Genomic DNA, 23986 nt, shown 5'->3' on the forward strand with positions numbered 1-23986 from the left:
TCTACATATATATATATATATACATATATAGAGAGAGACAGAGAGAAATCTCTGCTACTATAGCTTTACAACAAGAAAACTTAAGTATCAAATTTATGAGACCATGGGAAAATATAGGTTGAGGTGGCTGAATAGTCATGGCTCAAATAAATCTTAATTGATTTGAAACAAAATCTTTCTATTAATTTAATCCAAATTGGTATAGAACACATTCATTCAGTTTATTTTCCTTATGCATATTATGCAGGTACCTATCACTCCCACCACCACAACATATAGAGAACCAAACTTAAGTGAAAAACTAACATTTAGTTTATCCTAGCAGAGATGTACATGCATTAGGTTAAACATTAAATAGCTTGTGTTTATCTCATTGATTTCATATGGTTCAATCTAATACATATTCCTTGACACTGGTGGGACTCAACAATTGAGGTTTATACATTTAACAAGTGTATCATGATATAGTTGCGCCTTTTAGATATAATTCAAAGACTTGACTAGATAAAAATAATACTTTTATTCTTATTAAATAAATGTCATTTTTGTAACTTTCCTCAGGTACTAAAACCTCATTAACTTGTTGACACCATTCTGTATGGGAACGGTCAAGTTTTATTTTATGAAGATGAAGTTCCTTGCTCTTTCCTTGCAACACAAATCACAGTATACCTAGTTTTAAAAACATAGTAGTCACAATGCAGTGAGTATAAGCAATGATCCACATGAGTCAGTTACCTGGAAACCAGTATTATTTTGTAGTTTGAGCAGTAGTAAAATCTCTATTACTGGAGTGAACAAATTATTATTAAGTTACACATTTTACCTCTCTGTTTCTTTGGGGTATTCTCAGAACTTAGTACTTACATGTTGGTATTTGAAATTTTATAGGAAGCACAATAATGCAAGACATATGAAATTTATAACCTAACATTGCATTTTTTGGCTTTTTTATACATCATCTTTGGGATTTAATTTACTTATCAGATTGTACTAGTCTCAGAGTCTGTATTATATTTATCCAGAATAAATGAATTATATTGTGCAGCTATAATTTTGACAATAAAGAATTTTCTCTAAATAATTAATGGCATTTTTCCCCTTTCTTTATCTGAAAAGATTGCTCAAGTCATGTTCCCTAAAGATTTCACTGTCCCACAGAGACAAAGTTGACAGGTGATGGCTAGATATTTCTAATTAGGAGAAACTCCAAAGTAAAGCACTTTCCAGAAGGAGTAGCAGTTAGCCCCTGTAAACAATATTTGACACCTGCTTTGTTAAATTAGAATGAACACCTGCCATTCACTGCTCAGAATGTTTAATGCTCACTAATTTCAAGTAAACACTAAAAAGTTATACTAAACACTTTGTATGGGTTGAGAATTTTAAATTAAATAAACTATAATATTAACTTTTATTTGTTTTAATTAAATTTTATTACACAATTACAATGTGAATCCATTGTCTTGACAAAGAATTCAAATTTTATACTAAGACTCAGATCCCATTTGACCACCAAGTTCAATCTTATTTTGAATATTAACTCAAAACACAAAAGCCCTAAAATTTGTCATTTGGTTAAAATGATATATTCTGTAGGAAAAAGTCATGAATAATTTACCCTGTGTGTTTCTGGAGAGTAATTCATTCATTCTCTCAAATATTTGTGAAGCAGACAGAAAACAAGCAAATCAATTAAGTAAAATACATAGTAAATTAGAAGGTGATAAGTACCATTAAATTTTTAAGGTTTTTAAAAAAAAAGAAGAATCCCAAATACTCTTATTAACGGAGATTACACTTTTAGTTAAGTAGATTAAAAAACAACTTTAATGAAAAGGTGTTACTGGCGAAATAATGTGAGGGAAGTGAAAAAGGCTACCATAGGGACATCTGGCAAAGAGCATGACAGCCAGAGGCGAGGGCAACAGTAAAGGGCTTGAAATGCCAGAAACCTTGGCACATTCAGGAAGAAACAAGGGAGCAACTGCATCTGGATAAGAATGAGGTAGTTGGAAAGGAATAGGCAAGGCTGACTACATAAGTTGCGGGGCCCAGTGAGAAATGAAAATGTGAGGCCCCTTGTTCAAAAGGAAGGGGAAAATGCTATTAAGGTACTGCAGTATAAAGATTTCTCTTTTCTTTAATGGCCTATCTTTTGACTTGCCATGGTGTTTTAAATTTACTTTTTATTGTTCTAAATAAAGGAAAATTAAACCTCTAAATTATTGCCTTTAATTTTACTGTTTATCTATATGTTGTACACTGGAGTTTTTAAATGCAAATGTAAGAGCAATTAAGTCATATGCAGAAACACTGAAATCACACAGTTTGCATTTTGTAACTAATACATGCATATGCATTTTGTTATTATCAGTGGCAGCAGTGCAAAAACAAATTCCACTGCTTTTATTCTACTACCTCATACATGCACATTCTCCCAACCCTCACAGCTTACAGAGTACTGAAAAGAAAAGGAATTAAGGGTTGCCCTAGTTTTCCCATTCCTCTTATGCCATCATTTTCAGTATAAGTGTTTGGCTAATACCAGAGTGTTTATATGAGTGTTAACATGAGGAAGAAAGTTATGATAGGTTTCCTTGATTATCTGTGTTTCTCAGAACCATTGCCTTCATTCTTTTTTCAATGCAAGTTTTTGTTCAAATGTAGAGTAGCTTCTGAGGGTTGTCAACACACTGCTGATTACTCAGTCATAGACACAATATGCTTTTCTTGTTCTCCACTTGAATCCTGCTGAAGATCCATGCACTATGCAACCACAAGGATTCTGTGTTCTTGGGTCATTGCAAATGCTCTATGACAGTGAGATGGCAAGGAACAGTGTACTATTGTGTGCATATCCATTGGATTTCATTTACAAATCATATGTTCAAGGAAACAACAGGAATTTTAAGAAGTCAGCAGAGCATTATGCCAACACATACTATGTGTGGCTGCTCACGTCACATGCCCATGAGGCTGGCCCTGAGAGAAGGAGATAAGAACAGAAAGTTGATGAGAGGCCCAGTTGACAAAGGGCCTTGTAGGCCATTGTAAGAATTTTGAATGTATCCCAAATAAAATTGAAAGCCACTGTAGGGTTTAGTGGGCAGAGTGGTCATATTGGAATTTTATGTTCATGTTTACTGACTTAGTACTTTTCATTTGCTAAAACATTAGCTCTTTAGACCTCTGTAAAATACTCCAATTATTTTGGACTCTACAGGATATGCTTCCCTTATTCTGTGCTTATAAATTTCCAGTGCTCCACAAGGCCATTTCGGTGCTTCTAATTTTTCTCTGGCATCACAGTTCTGAAATGCCATCTCAGGAAAATCAAGCTGTTCTGTGGTTTATTACTGAAGTTTCCAAATACAATACCAACTATGCCCAAATATACTTCAGAGTTTAGAAAAGTCACTTTTACATTTTTTAAAAATGTATGTTTTATCTCTCCATGAAACCAAAACCTACATCCAGGAGGCAGAAGAAAGGATGGATTTGAAAACCACTATTTTTCTGTCCTCAGAATGCTGCCCCTTCACCTCATACAATGCATTTTTTCTAAAGAGACTGTTGAGGTAAACTTGGAGGTGAATTTATGTCATTTTCTAAAGGAATGAGCACATCTATTAACATTAGCTCAATTAATTATTTCCTTTTTTTTTCAGTCAGGCTTTAGTGAAGAATCTTGCCTAGTCTGCTCTTGAGTTCTATGTTTCTGATGCCTAGTGTAAAAAATAATATTGCTATCAGCCTTAAAATTATTGTATTTGATTCAATTCCAAAAGCTTGTTTCACTTCATCCTTACAGATGTTTTTAAATTGGGGTTTAGCAGATCCAATTAAGAAGACTACAAAAGGCTACCTAAAGTGGTGTCTTTTAGGCAATTTAGTCTCTAAAACTGTTTCTTCAAGTTTTGTATAATTGTTGCAAACTTTATACTATAGTACCAATAAGTTCCTGATAGAATTTTCCACGTAGCCAACACTCTAGAAGTGTTTGTTAATGTCCATGGCCTGAGTCCCAGACAAGAAAAGACGAATGAATTTGAATTTTGGGTTCTAGGGACTGCGTGGTTTATATGTAATTGTTCCAATGAATGATAATTACTAAGGAGGATTTAGGAGACAGGAGGCCAGGGACAAATATTATCACTGGCCTAGTTTCTTTGACCCTTTTTATTATAACACCCTCTTTTTCAAACTCCTTCAGTTTTCACACCACCTTTTACTTGTTTTTGACCTCTGAAAACAAGAGGCATTTCGCTACAACACCTTCAATGATTATTATCACCTGTAAATAAAAAGCAGCCTCTGATTATGGATTTCCGGTGCTTCATGGGCAAAGCCCCACTCTGCCTTTCAGCTTTATTTCCCATTATGATTTATCACAAATATACAGATGGTCAGCACTTTCCAAGGATGCTTATGTTCACACTGCTTCCTCCACATGGAATAGCTTTCCCCATTAAGTCTGTGGATTGAAATAATTGTACAAAGGCCCAACACAGATTAAAATTACTAATAAAGCCTTTCTCAGATTCACCATTTTTTCAACATACAATGGACATCCTTAGGATGTTTACCATGTGCAAATCTCTAAATAACTTTATATTAACCTTATGTTATAGGTACTGTCACCACCCCTATTTTATAGATTTTAAAAATTAGGCAAATAAAAATTAAGTTACCTGTCGGGCGCAGTGGCTCACGCCTGTAATCCCAACACTTTGGGAGGCTGAGGTGGGTGAATCACAAGGTCAAGAGTTCAAGGTCAGCCTGGCAAGATGATGAAACCCCAAGGCCAGCCTGGCAAGACGGTGAAACCCCATCTCTACTAAAACTACAAAAATTAGCCAGGCTCAGTGGCAGATGCCTGTAATCTCAGCTACTTGGGAGGCTGAGGCAGGAGAATCGCTTGAACCTGGGAGGCAGAAGTCGCAGTGAGCCAAGATTGCGCCATTGCACTCCAGCCTGGGCAACAAGAGCGAAACTCTGTTTCAAAAAAAAAAAAAGGAAAAGAAAGAAAAAAGAAAAATTAAGTTACCTGCTAGAGGTCATGCAACTTTCTTGCTTCCGTTTCAAGTTCTTAATACCTAACCCTAGTTCTTCAAAATGAAACTTTCCCCAATGTCTACTTTATCATTTTGCTTCTTGAGAATATTTATTTAATTGTTTTTGAATTACAGGGAATGATAAAATCACTTTCCCAATGTCATTTTAAGCACTATGAAGTCAGAAACTTTATACTTAATAGTGTTTTCCACAACATTTAATATGGAAATCTTTGTGGTATAATGATGTTTTGGGCTTGTCTTTGTTTTGGTTTATATTGTTCATTTTGTTTTTTTGTTAGGGAAAGGGTTATCCTACAGTATCAGGCATTGTACTAAGAATAATACAATAATGTAATAATAAATGGAAACATTATACCATAATAATATCATTGTTTTATGTATAGGGAGATAGATATTAGGGAATTAAGTAATTTGCTCATGGTATATGCATATGTGTATACATTATATATTATACCATGTAACATATAATATTAATTATGATACACGAACGTTTTTAAAAGAAAGACACCAATACATTATGTATAGTAATAATAGAAATAGGTATAGTTTTATATGAGTAAAAGAAGTGCTGTAACCTACTGCAAGCAAATGTAAAACAGAAGATTTTCTTATTCATAAATAATCTATGAGAATTTAAAATGACAAATTTATTATGATTATTATTAATGGGCAATTAACATACCACTTCACACCTGCATAGGTTTTCATACTTTAGAAAACATTTTTACCTCCAGTCTCTTGTTTGATGCACGGGATGATATTAAGCTCAATTTTGAGCCTTCTACACTGACAGCCAGAAAAAGACTATGAGTTACACACGGTGCTAACACTATAAAAAATGAAGAATCTTGATTGCCAGTCCCCAATTGTTTCCAAGTAATTCTCCATCCACAAAAATAATTTACACAAATTTCTAGGGAAATAATTTATTTGTCCTTTATTCTGAAGAAAGCAACATTCATGCTGGGTGGCTGACAGCAGGTGTTAATTCTGCAAGTACTAATTTAACATAGCAGGTGTCAGATACACTGGGTATTAACTGCATGGTTGCTACAAAGTGATGACAATCACTAAATGAGCTCTGATCAGGTGGCTCCTGGCACTTGCAGGCCTTCTGCTTGATTTTATTACTTACCTGAGCTTCATTCGTTGGGGCAACATCCCTTGGAAGTCTGCTGCTCAGGAGTTTTGGAGTAATGAGCGTCTACTCCTGGGATGTGGACATTTTGTCTATCTCCACCATCATTTCCTTTTGTCAGTCACACATGATATGACATATCAGGGTAATTATAATCATTTTATTTTTTTAAATGATGAATAATACTGTAGGAAAATTGTCAGCAGCTGCTTCAAAATTAACTACCTTCCCAAAATATTGCCAAGCATCTGCTCCCACCCCATTCCTCTCCACACCACTTGTAAGTAATCTGGAAAAATGTGCAGACACATACATTCACTTCGAACTTGCCATAATTTATGAAAAATATAATTTCAGAAAAGAGAAATTTAAACTTATGCCTGTCTCTTAATCTATATTTTGGATGTTGGTAAAATATTGCTTCTAACTTGTCTTGTTTTTTAATATATAACTTCTAGACGTTTTCCACAATTCATGATATTTTTAGACATGGGTCATGCTATAACAATGTTTTTCAACATTTTGTTTAATTTCTTAGCTGTTTTTTCATGAGTATTTAATTTTCATGTTTTCATGTTTGAGCTTTGGTTATTTTTTCTCAATAATGTCTTTGCTGTTAGTAGGTTCACACTCTGTGTTCTTTATTTAAACCACACCCGCAAGTATCTCCTTCTTATATCTTGTTTTTGCCCAGTCACTTAACTTTTATTTTCACCTGTCCTTTTCTTTAAAGATGGTTTGACTCTGAGGAGACAGGGACTGCTACAGTTTGTAAAAGGATGTGTTTAATGCTACTGAGTTCTAGAGAAAGTCAATGAATGTCTGAAAAATGATATTTTCCACAGTACTTCCTTTGAATACAAAGAAATTTTGTTGTTCAGCTTCATTTGTCTTTATGCTACATCTCCCATCTCCTCACCCTTTGAGTATTAAGCTGCAGCTGATCATAACAAATGGGAAATAAATTAATTGAGTTGTCATCAAAATCAGCAGGCTCAAATTCTTTGAAATGATCTTCTACTTGCAGGTAAAATCTATGCAAAGCCAGGGAGCTGTGGGCTTTTTATTATTCTTGTTTAGCTGGTTAACACTATTCAGAGACTGAGTGAAAGCAGAATTTGTTAGCCTTTTGTGAAACAAAAAACTCAAATTCACAAGCCTTACCATGAGAATAAAGCCACTTACAGGGGTGTTTTATAACAGATTGATCTAAAAGAAATGAGGTGGGGTGCTGAGAGAGGTACCACAGACAGGTAAGGGTAAAAGTTGGTGGTGAGAATGCCAACTTCCAGGGGAGTGAATCCTGATGTTGCCTTTTATTTTGCTCTAATCAACCAATATACAGTTTATGACCCAGTACGTGACAGCCCATTTGTGATGCACTTTAGAGAGGTCTTACTTCATGAGAGTAAAGTAGGCATGATATCTTTGAAATGGAGATCTAAAAATGTAATGAGGATGTACTCTTTAGATCATAAATGTATTTTATGTAAGATCCTCTTTCATCATGGAGAGCTTATTGTGTGAACAAAAAGACTGTCATAGAACCCCTACTTTAAAGGACTTCTAAACACAGCCACCCTGCCACAACCCAAACTGTGAAATGAGATGAATTAACTAGCGAAGGCACCTTTAACAGTGGTGATCACATTTATGGAATCATGACATTCTAACAAGCTTTCTATATCACACAAAGGGAAGCTGAGCCTTGATCACAGTGCTGGCAAACGGAAAATGTGGGCTAAGAAAAGCCTCTAGCTACACTAGCCAACTTAGAAATAGCTAGCAACTCTGCTTCCTTTTTTTCTGTCAAACATAATCATAGAAACAATTTGGTCCATGAAGTTTGGATTAAATTATCCTGAAATAGAGAGGACGCCACAACACCGAAGGTCAGCTAAGTTAGGCTTTGACTAGTGATTAAAATTTCATCAACATCTAGTTTTTGTAGGGAAGGGAAAACTTCTTTACCCTCAGGAGGTCTGCTGAAAAATCAGCTGACAAAAGGCAGATGAATAAGAGAAAAGGCATACAAATTTACTCGTGTTCACAGGGGAAAATCACAGAGTGATTATTCCCAACTCTCTAATGGGGTGCAGAAGCTTATATACCATCTCAAGATTACAGAAAGAATGGCGGCCAAAAACAGGTTACGGTGGTAAATCAGATTATAGTCTCAAGACAGGTTACTGGAGAGAAGATCAGGCAGGCTTGGCTGGCAAAGGTGGTCTTGTTGTATAGCTGAAACTTTACAGGTAGCAGCTGCCAGAGAAGAGATGGTGGATGTTTCTTTCAGACTTTTAAGGTATCAGACTCTCAGTTAATTTTTCCTAGATCCTGAGAAGGGAGGGCCTCAGAGAAAGCTTGGCTACATCAATGCACATTCCATACAGATGCAAATCTCTCGAACAAAACACAGCTTTGCAGGGCTATTCCTGTCTGCAGGCCCTTTAAACAGCCATCTCAAAATATATCAAAGAAGTTTATTTGGGGGTAAAATATTTTCATTTCCTCCACTGTTATCTGTGATACAGAGAGTTTCACGTAAATAAAATGGTGCTCAGAAAACTATACTTCATGAAATTACATTGAAATTAAATGAAATATTTAACAAAGGACACTTTTGTAAAAAATGCATACTACCTCTCAATATATTTTAAAAACAATTAAATATTAGATGTGGAATCATCAAAACTCCATTTTGTACATAGAGCATCTGAAGGCAGCTGCTTCATGAGAAGCCACATAATTATTTCTACCTCCTCCAAATATTTAATTATGACACAATCTCTTATTTTCAAAAATATGTTTTTATATTGTCTTGTTACTGATTTTACTTATTTCACAGTTATCACTTTTATGTCAATAAATTTTTGATAAAGTTCTAGATTCCAGTCATGGTAAATATTACTCCTGCACAGACATAGACATCAGACCCACAGAAACACACAAAGCCACAGAGAGACACACATATACCCCTACACCACACACTGACCAGACAATATGCACACAGAATTAGGTGTACGTAGTGCTTCTCTCACTCTAATGAGGAAAATCAACAGCATAAAAAGGAGAGCTATGACAATTGTCCTCATAATTTATCTGGTTCACTTCTGACTTCAAAAAGGTGAACAATTATATAATCCAGGACAGATTATTATTTTGCCCTTTCCGGGGAATTTCACAATCTTCTTTAATCTTTTTAAAATTTTATCATTCTTCGATAGCAAAAAAATTCCTTGTTTCCATCTAATTTAAAGACAATTCTAAAATTATGTAGGGGATTATCAGGATGTGTGATGTTGAGTATGATAAGGGTTTATAATTGTGATAAGTAATGATATATTCCTTGCCTATCTCTAGAAAGGATATGACTTAATTTTGTCATGAAGAATAAAAATAATTGAGGAAAAACACATTTTTAAAAGATGACAGACACACACTTTTAAGAGGATTTTAAATGATGATAGATACATGCTTTTAAGAGTTAATTGCTATAGTTTTCCACTATTGAAAGTCATCTCTTTCCTGAACCTCATTAAAGTCATTAGCACTTTATTTCTTGTGCCACTGTTGTTTACACATAAGTTTAATATCCCTCTGGATGTTTCCTGATCAGTGTTCAATCAATCTTTGTACCCTTCACAGTATCTTTTATATTACAAATTTTCAATAAATTTTTAATACAGCTTTGAACTCCATGGATAGGGAAGGAGGAAAGGAGTTAGACTTAGGTTGTTCTCAGTAACAAAACAACAATAGCAACAAAAGTGTAAAAGTTCATGTGTAAAACAAATGATTTCCTTCCACTGAAAAAAATGTCCAACAGACCTTCATGTAAGAAGGAATGTATAACTTAATAAAGAATATATTTAAATATAATTTTCCAAGGAAAAACACAGTGTTCAGATAGATACTTCTTACAAATATTTTATAAAAGTCAAGGATGAAACTGAAAACTTAACTCAGGGAGGAGGCCACTTTGGTGAATTAACTCTTGACAGGGATAGAACTTTGAAATTATGGAGAGCCTGGTTTTCTTAAATGTCAGTCTCAACAAAATTGATATGTATTCAATGAAAGTCAATATATAGTTCAATTCCCTGATGGGTTCACTTAACATTAACTTCTATTTTGTTTCTAAATACACACGTTCCAGACATTTTATTAATTCACTTTTCTTCACATTCATTTTTTCAGTGGGCACGTGCCAATCATTTAGGTTGAAAATATGAGTTTATGGTTAAAATAGGTGTCAAATTCTAAAAGTTATGAGGCAATCTAGGAGTACACATGGTTATGGGATTTAAGATTTAAAAATTTTGAATGAATAATATAGTCAAATGTAACAGCTAATGTGAATAAGACAACATCCCACCTAGGATGCTTAATATTTTATGTCAACCTGAGTAGGTCATGAAATGCTCAGATTAAACATTATTTCTGGGTGTGCCTATGAGGTTGTCTGCAGAAGATTAGCATTTGAATCAGTGGATGCAGTAAAGTAGACTGCCCTTCCCAATATGGGTGGACATTATCCAATTCACTGAAGGCCTGAATAGAATCAAAGGCAGAGGAAGGAGGAATTTACCTCTCCTTTTCTGCCTCACTGTTTGAGCCAAGACATCTCATCTCATTTTCTCCTACCCTCAGACTGGGATTTACACCATTTGTTCCCCTGGTTCTCAAGCATTCTGACTAAGACAAAATTATACTGCAAACTTTCCTGGGTTACAGGTGCTGGAGAGCAGATGATGGGACTTCTTAGGCTTCATAATCACATGAACCAATTCTTCATAATAAATGTCTCTCTCTGGAGATAAATATATATCTTACTGGTTCTGTAGGAGAACCCTAATGAGTACATCAATCACCTACCAATACTCTTTTTTCCAAGGCAGTGAAATTTAACCTTTGGATTCAAAGACTCTTTGGAGAACTTGATAAAATTATGAGCCATTAACTTAAAGAGAAACCAACAAATAAAATATGTTATATATCTCTCTTTCTTACCCTTCTCTTGGCTTACTATACACTAGCCACAGTAGCCTCTTTGCTGTTTCTTGAATAGCCAGACCACTTAGTGCCTTGCATTGGCTATTTCATCTGCCATGAACAATCCTCCTGGAATTTTTGGTCTGGCTTATTCCCTCACCTCCTACAAATCACTGCTAAATGTCACTTTCTCATATGGATGACACCAACCAGATAGACATTTCAAATTTTAATCTCTCCACTACCTTTCACTCTCCAGATCAGCCCTTTTTTTTTCTATATTTTTAGCACTTTGTAAATTCTACACCTTTTAGTTTTCTGTTATTTTACTCTTTATTGTATATTCTACCCCTTGAAAACCAGATCCACAAGGGCAAGAATTTTTGTATAGTTTTTTGTCAATTTCTAGGTCCCAAGTACCAAATTCCCTGGTACACAGTAAATAACCCTAATAATTGTTGAATGAATGAGCGCAGTCTCAAGGAGGCAGTGGAGTACTCTGCTAAAGAACATGATTTTTAGAATCAAAAGGATCTGGACGTCTTGATTCAGCCCCTCAGTGAGCCTGTGGGCAAGTTGCTTTTTATCTTGGAGCTTTTGTTCCTGGTAAATTATAGAAGGATAATAAGAAAGTCGATGGTTATTTGGGATTCAGAACAGAATGCTGTCTCTTCCTACTTACCCTTGCCTCTATCAGACAAATTCTAGATTTTTGTGCAGTGTAATATGACAGACACAAACAAAGGCAGAATCATTAGGGCTGGATGAGCAAAACAATGAGATGAAAAGACTAACCAGTCTAAGCCATTAAGTTCTGAGGGGAAAAACACATGAAAGGAAATACAGACAATAGATAGAGGGTAGTTTTAGGAGAGATAAATTAGGATGAGAATGGGTGAATACGTTTCAGAGAACTTTGAACTGTGAAAATTAAGGTACACTGAGAAATGTTGCTGGAGGTTATGAATCACATGCTTTTTCATGTTTTGAGGAAAAGAATATAAGGACTGGAATGACTGTCTTTTTCCTTGCAACTATTTGAATTGAGTGATTTGAATCCCACCCAGGGTAATAATGGACAGGTATTGATTCCAGAATTCATGGGAATTACACATATAAAATCAATAGCTAAGTGCATCGAATAGTCCATTTTCAAAACGTCCTGGTTATTAACACAGTATTAAAATACTCATCTGATTTCATGACAACTAGGGCATTGATTTATTCATTTGACACTTATTTATTAAATACGTACTAGCTTCCAGACATTCTGCTTCTATTATGGACATAATAAAGAACAAGACAGTTGTAGTTTCTGGATTCATGGAGTTGAAGTTCAGCAATAATTATTAAATTGAGATAATTAATATATTTAATTCAGGAATAATGTCAGGATAGACACATAGATAGGCCTTTACAAATTTTGTTTATGAGTATATTGTGAGCATATACATTTTATTTTTCTAGGGATTGGACCCTAATGCTATGAATTGATTCTAAGGGCAATTTTTTTACCTTAAAATCTAAACTTTTTCTTCCTTAATGAGAGAAGTTTTAGAGAAATAATTGGTGTCAGAAACTAATTACAATTAACTGAGGAGTGAAATAAACGGAAGGTAAAGAAACAAGAGCCCAAGAAGCAAGCAAAAAATAATAGACACTAGTGGAATCAGAGAAGATGTTTTGCTTGTTAGTTGGGTCATTTATTTTAAATGGAAAGAAACTGACTATGTTTAAAAGTTGAGAGACAGACTGAATAGTATTCTGCTGTGTATATACACAACACATTTTAAAAATTCATTTATCTGTTAATGGGCACTTTGACCATTTTCCTATCTTGGACATTGTTCATAATGCTGCAATGAACATGGTAGTATAGAGCTCTCTTTAACATGCTGATTTTATTTCCTTTGGTTATATACCCATAACAGGGATTGTTATATCATATAGTATTTTTAGTTTCAGTTTTTGAGGAACTTTCAGACTATTTTCCAAAATGGCTGTACTAATTTACATTCCCACCAACAGTGTACAAAGGTTTCCTTTTCTCCATATCCTCACCACACCAACATTTGTTATCTTTTGTTTTTTTGATAAAAGCCATACTTATAGATGTGAGGTGATAACTGATTGTGGTTTAAATTTGATGATGGTTAATAATAATATGTTATATCTTTCAAAATAGCTAAAAGAGTAGATTTTAAATGTTCTCACCACAAAAAATCATACTTATTTGAGGTGATAAAGATACTAACTAGCCTGGTTTGTTCATTCCACAATGTACACATGTATAGAAACATCACAATTTTTATTTGTCAATTAAAAGTAAGACAAAAAATATTCTAACAAACAAAAAATAAATGGAAAGTCAGGACTTGCTGTAGAGAGGTGGGATGGGAGTACAGAGAAATATAAAATGGCTAATGAATAAAGGTCTCAGAGAAGGTAGGAGAAATTACAACCATGAACTGAAAGTGCTCTTTAACCGGGTTTGATATTTTCTAATAAGAATTGAGAATATTTATTTGAAATATTTGCTCAAGTCTGAAGACTAATTCATCTCTGTGACTTCAGATGCTTTCATCATAGTGTGAAATACTCATTCCGGGTCACTAAAAGAGCCAAACAAATAACCAAGTAAATGCAAACTATTATTTTTATCCAATAGAAATTGGTATTTAATCTCCTGAACACTGCTGACCTCTTCCCTAAATTTCTTCTTATAGTCTTATGACTCAGTAAGTTAGATGAGTAGCTAAGTTAATTGATTCATATAAGAATTGTGTAAATAAATTTCTGCAGTGAAAAAAAAATTGATGAAAGTCCTCTTGATCAACATCCCCAGTCCTAATGCTGCTCTTATTCCTAAGAAGAAACTACTTTTCTGAACTTGGTTTGAATTTTTTCTTGCTTTTTTTGTTGTACATGAAAACCTATCAAAGTACTCAAACCATAAATATTGTATTTTAATATTAATATATTAATTTAATATAAATATTGTATGAGGGTGGGAAGTTGCTATTATTTTTAATGTAAAAGTAACATTGTGGAATCATCTATATATTTATTATAATATCTTAGAGAGTTTCCCATATATCTACTTCCTTATTTAAGTAGTTTAGGCTTAATTTAGATATATATTACTATGGTTTATTTAGTTATCTCCTTTATGATTTTTTCTGTTAGTTTGATTTTTATTTGTTTGTTTTAGAGCTGAAATAAACATTATTGCATACGGCTCTTGGGACCTGTTTGAGGTCATTCTCTTTGTCTTTTTATAAAACATAAGAAATATTTTGTACTCTAATAATTGACATATTTTGATTAACTGGAAACTGCTAATCTGGAGTTTTGTAGATCCAATCCTGTGCAAAGCCGGGGTGAGGATTCACAAGATGAGACATTAACAAGAGAGTGTCAAAGTGGTACAGAAAAAGGGAGCACAAGCCCCATGGTGACTTCAGCTGACAGACTGATTTGTGGGCATTTTAGGGATCATTCTTGAAACTCCCAGTAACTGAGGACCTGTTAACAATGACTAATTTGTGCCAGTGAAGTTAGCATGAGCTTGGTTGACCACAGAATCAGTATAAAAATAAACTGTAAAAATTAGAAGTAGAAGGTAACCAATATCTGCTAAATGCTGGGACATGTGAGATTTACTTATCTTTGAAATGCAGGTTGAATATTAGAAGATGTTTTAGGGATAAAGGCTTTAAACCAAGAAAAGTCAGAAATCCCAAGAAGTCACTGAAGACCTTAAACTTTTTTTTTTTAACATGTAAAAAAAGGGTTCCATTAAAATTATAGTAACCTCTTACTTCTTCTTTTTTTAATTCTTTTTCTTTTTTTTTCTTGAGATAGGTTCTCACTCTGTTACCTAGGCTGCAGTGCAGTTGTATGATCATAGCTCAACTGCAGTCTTGAACTCCTGGGCTCAGCTGATCGCCCCAACTCAGCTTCTCATTACTTCTATGCTTTCTAAATGAATCCTATCAAATTCATGTTTTCTCTTAAATAATAATAAAACCTTAAATTTAAGTTTGATATTTAATGACTGTATAACTCTTTGTGGAGACAAGCAATCAAGGAAATCAGATAGGGAAGTTCAGAGATTCATTAAGGATTATCTGCAATGACTCACTTGGGACCCAGAACTTGCCCTTCCTTCAAGGGAAAGGATCTGTCCAAATGCAACCTGCCCATGGGAGCTGAAAACCCCTAATGTCTGCTGTGTCAAGCAGATGACATTTACTTGCAGTCTCTTCAAAACTGGCAAGTAGGCTCAGCTTGATTCAGATGAGACCCGAAGAATTTATTCTCTGAGGATGAGCCTGTTCTCACTCTTGCCTCATAACAAAGTGTGAGCAGTTTGTACAGAGAGAGAGTCCCATTGCTAAGAGACAGTCCCATATCTTGTGTCTGTTTCTGCATCAGACAATGAATGCTCCTTCATTATTTGCCACCAGCTGACCCTTCTGCCTGGCAGTTCTAGCCTATGCCAAATAACCTGGACGCATGTTTAAAGCAATATGTTAAAGTTGCTCTCATAAATTATTATTGATGCTAGCATTTCATTTACTTTCTACATTCAGGAAATATTAATCACCGTTTACTTTCTTACAAATTTCTAAATTCGAATTTACTTTGAAATGTTAAGATATATTTATGATGTTCTTTTTATAAGTAGTTTTTCTTTCATAGGCAATATTTATCCATCCATCCATAAATTTCTCTGTTCAGTAAGCCATGAAAATACTTGGGACTTACTTTTATGGAAATACACTAAAGCACTTATCACATAGACAAGAAAGCAAGGAAATTGCTACATACTTTAAGGGTGTGTGTGTGTGTGTGTGTGTGTGTGTGTGTGTGTGTGTGTGGTGAGTGATATGGTGGTCTATTTGGGAATGAGGGAGATGTGGTATGCATGGAAAGCTATAAGGAAAAGTTTAGACTATTCATATAGTTAAAACTCGACTGTTTATTCCAGGTTTTGTTGACTGCTGCATTATGTGAAAGCATTGTCTTCTTGAAAATGAACAGCCTATGAGCCAGTTTATGAATTGCATATATTCAAGCCAACACCAATTACAAGGAAAACAGACTAGCCTGTCTTTCTCCCGTGTGCTGCTTTTACTTAAACAGTCATTCAGGTGGAAAGATGCCAGCCTTCCTGCCCTGGGGCTTGTTTCATGCACTCACAGATGTCTGGCTCAGATTACAAACATATACAATGGCACTGATGCCAGGCTCAGCCTGGGGATTTCACCGACATCAGAGTGAAACACGAAAGTTTCAATGATCAACTGAAACACGTCAAGGATGGCCTTTGCAAATTTTAAAATAGATCTCCTTACTATCAACTTTCCTAAAAGGAACCTTCATTAAAAGATCTATATATCACTATAGGATATTTTGGTAGGACAAAAATGCCAAGGGGTGGCAGAAGAATGATTGGTAATGACAATAGGCAGAACACTCTATTAACCTGACATTGATGGGGAATGATCTGTACGCACATGTTAATTTTACAGATAAGTGAAGCTTAACTTTTCAAGCACTGAAGCTAACCATTTTAATAGAAATATTTCTAAAACACATTACACACATTTATGGCTTCTAAAGTGGAATGAATTTAGTGTAGTTTTTCCTATCCATTAAAAGTCAAAGTAACTATCTATATGAATGCTGATCTATTCTGTAATATGATGACATCAGATGGAATCTGTGGCCTGGAGAGCTAGAGAAAGGGCTATACACAAATACTTCTCAGTTTTTTTTTTTTTTTTTTATTCTCAACCAGTCAGTTGTAACTTTTACAATTGTCTGTATTCCTACCCAGAGATCTTCAAGCCCTATTCTAAACTTACTTTTTCCATATTTGCTGAATCATGAGAAACTAGATAACTATCCTTATTAGAAAAGATAAAATAAGAGTTAAGATAATTAACAAAAGTCTGTATTTCTCTGAGAGTACACTGTGAGTTAGCTATTCACTCATGTATTCACATAATACATGTTTATTATGTTCACAACCTCTAGGTGTTGAAAATACAAAGAATAAAATGACATGTGTCCTCAAGAAAGGGAAATCTGGACCAAAAAATTAAAGAAAATAAAATATGACATGTCAATTATTGAAATTCTATTATGGGTCATGAACCTTAGATGAAACCACAAAATCTTTTAAACAAAATAAAGCAACTAATATTTTTCTCATTTAATAGACAAAAGGAAACTTAAGTTTTAATAATTTCCTCAATGTCGTAAGTGGCATAATCAACATTTGAAACTTTGTCTCTCTGCATTTAAAAGGTACTAAGTTTCCCATATACTATGCTCTTTCCCAAGTGCCATTTCCATCCTATTTCTCCCCACCTACCTTCTGAAACACACAAGGAGTGTGCAAAGTGGTGCCAAAGAGGTGAGATAACTTGCACTAAGCTGTGATACTTATGAGAACCTATCCACACTTCTTTCTTTTACTATTGTGCTGACTTGCTGCCGCTTATAAATCTAAGCTTTAATTCAATAGCTTTTCCTTTGTACATCTGCTGTTATCGATAGCTAAATTTTATAGAATTAAGACAGCCAAAAAACTGAAATCAAGATAAGAGAGATGGCTGACTTTTGTGGGGCAATCTTCTTCCCAATTGGTTGATTATTATTAACTTTGCGAAGGCCAAAAAAGAACAAGCATACAGTGGCAACACAGTGGACAGAAGGAAAGCAGCGGGGTCAATAAATACTAGGTACATCGTGCATGCAATCAAGCTTGTAAAGGATCTGGACCAAGCCATATGGATGGTGAGGAGTTAACTCTAATCATGGTGTTTCGCGGAGGTTCCTGTGGTGAGCTGCTCTGCCCAGAAATACACCGCAAGGCAGCAGAGAAGGAGAAGAACCCCAGTGTCAGGGACAACTACCTGGGTATTTAAGGAAAAAAAAATAGACCCTTACTTGCTGATTTAGGGACTACAAAAAAAAAAGTCAGGAACTGAGACTAGATATTTTCAACTATGAAACATGCTTCTGTGTACACTGTTTCCATTTTTCTTCAGGTTTAGCTTGCTTACTATTCGTGTAGTAAATGTTGCTTTTTTGTTGTTTTATTTATTTAAAAAAACATTAATAGTAATGTTCAAATGCCTGGTGTTAAGACATTTGCACATAAAATGCATCCAAATCTGGATTTTTTTCCTAAATCAATTCAAAACATGTTCCAGAATAATTTATGCTCCTAAAAGCTAAGCAAATTACCTAGCATGTAAACCATTATAATATTCCCAGTGGCTTTGCCTTCAAGATTAGAGCAAGAATCTTATGCAATACTAAGCTCAATATTTGACGTATCAAATATGGAATCTTCTAAAATTTCCCTCATCTCTCCCTATGTTTAGCAGAATGAATGAAAGAAATGGTTCTTGATCTGACATTCAGATCACATCAATAGGATTACAATGTAATAGCCACCAAATGGGAGAACAGTGAAGTAACCAGGGAACACTCTAAAGGCTGCTAAGCTTTGTCTTAAGTCAAGTGATCTTTAGAGACTCTTCACCTCATAACAGATTAAGTGGAGACACCTTATCACACTACCATCCATCTGAGCCACAGGATGAACTAGGGGTAACGGCCATGGTTATTAGGAGACACTGTGCAATCACAGCAAACAGCATCAAGATTTGATAATTATTTATTGTTCTGTTCACATTTACTTGAAAGAAAACAAAGTCCTCTAGAGCAGAGCCAATGAACATTGCTCACAAGAACAACAAAAATAAGATATTAATCACACATATTCTAATGCCTCTAGTGAAAGAATGATATGAATAATAGTGATTAATAAGAGGCAACAAACCTTTGAATCCCTGTCAGCATTTGTATGCAGCATACTTAAATAATTTAATGAGTTAATATATCCTCCATGAAAGCCTGGAAGCCAGAATTATCTTCAGCAGGGTCACACCTTATTTTCAAGAGTTTCCATGCTCTGTGCTAATTCCCTGAATTGTTATGCGGGCTGGAGCTTTTGATTTAATGTTCATTGCAGAACTGAAGTCTAAACATTAAAACATATCACAACCTAGTGGGCTTTTAGTAAAACACTAGACACACAATGTCAGTTTTGATTGAGTTCTTCTTCTATCGGAGGTAATTTAGTACATGCCAACTTACTTAAACAACAACAACAAAATCCTTGTCACCCACGCTGTAATGAAATCTTGGGAGAAAAGCTCTACAAAGAAAACAGGAGATAATACAAAACAAGTTTATCAGGAAAATGTCAAAGAGGCAACCATGATTGTGAAAGGACATTCTTCTTCTTCTACATAATCTTTGAGTCAGGCAGCACTTACTGCCAAAAAAGATAACTTAATAATAATGAATCAGGTTGCTTCCTTTGCAAGAGATATGCCAGTATTAAAATAGGGTCTGGCAGCCAAGTACTGAAAACATGGCAGCACATTAAAACATGCCATAGAGACAGTAAATGGTCTTGGAGAGACATTTAAGGAGACAAGCTTACAGCATCTAAATTACCCTATGTTAAAACAAATATTTGAGTGGGCATAGCAAGAGAGTCTAATTGTCTCCTGTGAAGGCAACAGGCTTTGAATGGGGCCTGTGGGAAGAAACTAGATATAGAGGAAGGCAGGGAATTGATAATCCAGGTTCTCTTTCCTTCTTCAGCAATTCCTATTTCAAAACTTTTTATTACTACCCTCTATTCTGCAGTTAAGTTTCTGTAATTCTGGTCATTCAGAAAAGTATGAGAGGCTAGGTCTGAGTTCTCCTCTAATCCCTTTCTACTATACTCTCATCTTTCATAAGAAGAAATTTCTCTCCAATCACAGATTTTGCAGGCCACCATTGCATAGTGAAATACAAGATGCTCTCTGGAGATGGCTTCTGGGAAAGGAAAATGAGAAGAAAACAAAACGCTTTTCCTCATAGATTTCACCTCCTTTTTCTGAGACCTTTCATATATTCCAACAGCTATAGAAGATGAAGAACAGGCTTGGCCATCCTCTGATAATCTCTGTTACTTTTAAAAACATGTTTTTGGGGGAAATAATGAACACTTTGAGGGCATTCCTGTTTTCATGTCCTTTATGCACTAACAGAAAACTGCCTCTTCAACCACCATCCCTCTCAAAAAAGAGTGTCTTTTGCAGCTCTCTGATAAAAACTTTCTCCTTTTTCTCATGAAATCCCACCTCTCCAGGCTTTAGTTCCATGTTCTTACAGCCTATCCAGCTAATTAACATTTCACTCTTTCCTAACAAACCAACTATTCAATGACATTCACTGAATTTCATATGATTTGATACACAATCTGAACCTCCAATTCAGGACTATGACTGTAACCTTTCGGTGATACACTCATATTTATTGAGAACATTAACACAAAACACATACTTGATTTACAATTTTTCTTCTGAATGCAACTTTTGGCACCATGTTAGACGATGTCTATGTTGTTCTTCATAGAAGCCTGATTTCACAGTGATGGTCCACCCTCCAATCTACTTCAGCTATTGTCTTTCAGGACTTTGACCTGGACCTCTCACAGTCCAGAATTACTTTTGCCTCTGAAACCCTGACCGCAACTTTTTAATTCCTCCTATAGGTTTACTCTTTCTACCTCTGTTCTTCATTTCTTCAATATCTTCAATCCCTGGATCCTCACTCCTCACTCTTTTTTTTTTTTTTTTTTGAGATGGAGTTTTGCTCTTGTTGCCCGGGCTAGAGTGCAATGGCTGATCTCGGCTCACTGCAACCTCCCTCCGCCTCCCGGGTTCAAGCAATTCTCCTGCCTCAGCCTCCCGAGTAGCTGGGATTACAGGCATGTGTCACCACACCCGGCTAATTTTGTATTTTTTAGTAGAGATGGGGTTTCTCCATGTTGGTTAGGCTTGTCTCGAACTCTTGACCTCAGGTGATCTGCCCACTTCGGCCTCCCAAAGTGCTGGGATTACAGGCGTGAGCCACCACACCCAGCCCTCACTTTTTTTTAAAGCCTATTCTGATCTGACTCTTTCATGTAGCAAGCACCTGGTTAACTACAGGAACTTTTATATTCTACATTATCACACTACCCCTCCCCTGCAAATCATTTCTTTTATCTTCTTTTCAACAATTTTACTTTTCTACATCTGCATTAGAAAACTTGCACTTTCATGTCTCATAGGCCCCCCAAATTATTCTCCCTATAGAAACATAATTATGTTAATTCAATCACCATATATTTAATTACATGTATTTTTTACTATACTTGTTAATGCCCAAAAGAATGGGTGTTCTTCCTGTGCTGCTGATACTACACTACAATTTGTCCAGTAATTTTGCAGTTCAAGTGTTCAAAGTAAAAAATTATATATTTAGCTATACTTCTCTGCTAAAATCTCCACCTCAAGCCATAATCTAGTTCAAGTTTTCCTATCAATTTAAAAATGCTATTTCTGTCTTCCTCTATCCAAACTCATCAAAATAGTATTTTCCACCTAACCTAATGCTTTTTCTTTCCCAATAGTCTTTGCAAATTTTCTTAAAAAGAAAATTCAATGACCTTCTTTAATATATTAATTTATCACTCTTTATTTCTTGTGATTATTACCCTCAAGCTCTCTCCAGCTTTTCAGAGCATTTTTCTTCACCTCTTTTACTGGTTGATATCATTTGAACAATGCCCTTGTATGAAGTAGAATTTAACTCACTCAGGTATAGTAATTTTTTTCTCTGTACTGTCTCTCGATACACTGTGTATACCTTCAAGTAATGTTATTTTTTTATTGTCTCCTCTTGCCAATTATCCTACTTACCTTAAAACCTATAAAAAATAGACACCCAATTAACATTTCATTAACTTCCAATTAATTTTAACCCCATTACTTACACATATTTCCAGACATTTTATTCAAACGCTAATAAAATCATATGAATGTATTTATGCAATATGAGTTAGCCATGCACATTCTAGAGAAAAGTTCTTTTGCTCTCAGATCCTGCACAAGTAACCTCCATAATCAAACTTAAAAATTAACCTTATTCAACAGTAAATTAATTGCTGGCTATCAGAAAACTGCATACACTTAAAATAATACAACAAATTCCAAACACTGAAAATTATATCCTCCACGATGACTAGCATTCAGTAAAAAATACTAATCTCTAGAATAAGTACTTTTTTCATAACTAGGAGGGGGGAAATGCAGACATTATTAAGCAACATCAAGATGACAAGGTGATAAAATTAGAAAGCAAGGACATTAAAGTAGCTATTTTTAAAATGTCCAATAACAGAAAATATGGTTATAATGAATAAACAAATGGATAATTTCAGAGGATAATTTAAAATTATTAAAAGGAAACAACATAAATTTTAAAACAATAATGTGTAAAATAAAAAAATTCAGCCTGGCAGAGAAGCTCACGCCTGTAATCCCAGCACTTTGGAAGGCTGAGGTGGAAGGATCACTTGAGCCTGGTAGTTCAGAACTGGCCTGGGAAACATAATGCAACCCTGTCTCTACAAAAAAAAACAAAACATAAAAATTAGCCAGCTTTGTGGTGCACACTTATAGTCCTAGCTATGAAGGAAGCAGAAGTAAGTGGGAGGATCTCTTGAGCCTAGGAGTTTGAGGCTGCAATGAGCCATGATCAGTATACTGCACTCCAGCCTGGATGACAGAGTGAGACACCATCTGTTAAAAAAAAAAAAAATGCTATACAAACATAAAAAACAATTGAAGATGCTCACACCTGTAATCCCAGCACTTTGGGAGGCCGAGGCGGGCAGATCACGAGGTCAGGAGATCGAGACCATCCTGGCTAACACGGCGAAACCCTGTCTCTACCAAAAATACAAAAAAATTAGCCAGGCGTGGTGGCGGGCGCCTGTAGTCCCAGCTACTCGGGAGGCTGAGGCAGGAGAATGGCGTGAACCTGGGAGGCGGAGCTTGCAGTGAGCCAAGATTGGGCCACTGTACTCCAGCCTGGGTGAGAAAGCGAGACTCCGTCTCAAAAAAAAAAAAAACAAAACAAAAAAAACAGTTGAAGATGGAGCAGAAGGAAGGGCTACTGAGCTTAGAGACAGATAAATGAAAATTATAGAAACTGAAAAACAGAAATTAATTTAAAAAATTGAAAAACAAATGATCCAGGGGATCATATCAAGTTGTCTAACCTATCTGTAAGTAATTAATTATAAATAAACAAAATAATAAAAAGTATCATGTATATGCAAATATATATACACACATAAATATATATACAGAGAAAATAAAAATAACACATTTTCCAAATTTAGTAAAAAAGCATGAACTTACATACCCAAGGAGATCAGAAATTCCAAGCAAAATACAGCAAACCACACTTATGCACAGCATAGTCAACCTGCTAAAAAACAAAAGATAAAGAAAAAATTTAGAAAATGTCAAATTAATAATATATACTTTACATAGAAGAAGACAAAGAATAAAAACTGATGACTGTCTTTGCATCAGAAACAAAAGAGCAATTAGACTTCTCATTTGCCAAGGAGAATGACAGCTGCCTAATACATGACCCAGTTCATTCCCATGCACTGATTCTCAAGTCTTGCAAATGCAATATAGAACAACAAATAAATTTGCTCGAAGTCCCCAGACTCAATATACATGAAAAAGCCTACCCAAACTTCAAATTACTTGGAATGTAAAAAGATACAAGCTATATCCCAACAGGAAGTCATTATATTCCTAGTGCAAGACTTGTGGCAAGCAAG

General features: G+C 35.1%; 1 annotated feature.

Annotated features, from left to right (window-relative positions):
* Positions 2702-2902: a silencer, noted in NCBI's record as "peak5394 fragment used in MPRA reporter construct". NCBI's record gives its function as "represses an SCP1 promoter by STARR-seq MPRAs in K562 erythroleukemia cells {active_cell/tissue: K562}" and the evidence as "EXISTENCE:reporter gene assay evidence [ECO:0000049][PMID:32103011]".

The sequence above is a fragment of the Homo sapiens genome, chromosome 5 (genome assembly GCF_000001405.40).
Source record: "Homo sapiens chromosome 5, GRCh38.p14 Primary Assembly".
In the NCBI taxonomy this organism is placed as follows: domain Eukaryota; kingdom Metazoa; phylum Chordata; class Mammalia; order Primates; family Hominidae; genus Homo; species Homo sapiens.